At 39.2% G+C, this 886-nt stretch overlaps 1 protein-coding gene across 8 annotated transcripts in view; it reads right to left on the bottom strand.

The window, feature by feature from the left end:
• TRIO (trio Rho guanine nucleotide exchange factor) overlaps positions 1 to 886 on the bottom strand; it is a 366,863-nt gene that overhangs the window by 353,428 nt on the left and 12,549 nt on the right. The window lies entirely within an intron of this gene.

The raw sequence follows: 886 nt of genomic DNA, 5'->3' as shown, positions 1-886 counted from the left end.
GAGCTGAACAGAAGCTGACCACTAACTGCTGATTTGAACAGTTTAAACTTGGGGGTGGAGGTTCATTTATCACCGTGGTGTGGGTTAGCATTCTCAAATTACTTTCTGCATATTCTAGGATTGAGTGAATAAGTAAAGATACGGAGGATAAAAGGAGCCAGGTTTTTCACTGTCAGAGAAGGGAATTACAAATACGGAAGAGGAAAGACTAAAATGCACCCTGTGGTACTGTATTGGAATTGGACACACTGAGTCTAAACATATGGTTTTTATCACCAAGAGGTGCAGAAAGAGATCTCAATCACGTTTGCATATGTGTAATTAATGTCTATGTGTATGCATACATACACACACATACACGCATACACTTCTTAGCTCTGTCTACTGAGAGGCCCTAAAAGCAAGGACAACTCTGTAGCAATGAGCACGCTTAGTGCCTAGATCGTGTTTCTAAATACCATTCACTACTAAAATGAACCATTTCTCCAAGGGCTCCTTGGAGAAATGGCTGATCCCAGCCCTGGGGCAAGGAAAGCACAAGGTGCACCTGGAACAGTTTATTGTGCCAGAAAGTAAGAAAGTGCTCCAAAAAAATGATGGAGACAGGTCACAAAAGATAAAAGAGCCAGGATGAAGGGGCTCCCACTAGCCAAATCTTAGATAATTACAGCATCAAACTAAGTGACAGCAAAAGATCATAGCTCATTGCATAAAACAGGAATTTCTGAGGCCATACTTATATAAATAAATAAGTGGAAGATAAGGAAAGCTCTTCCTTATAGTACAAAGTCAACTAAATACAAAAGGAATTACAAAGTTAGAAAAAAAATCAACATTTCGCAACCATCATATTAATAACTGATTCAGGTGAAGATCATCAATGGAT

The sequence above is a fragment of the Homo sapiens genome, chromosome 5, assembly GCF_000001405.40.
Source record: "Homo sapiens chromosome 5, GRCh38.p14 Primary Assembly".
In the NCBI taxonomy this organism is placed as follows: Eukaryota; Metazoa; Chordata; class Mammalia; order Primates; family Hominidae; genus Homo; species Homo sapiens.
This window is presented reverse-complemented; position numbering and strand designations above follow the sequence as displayed.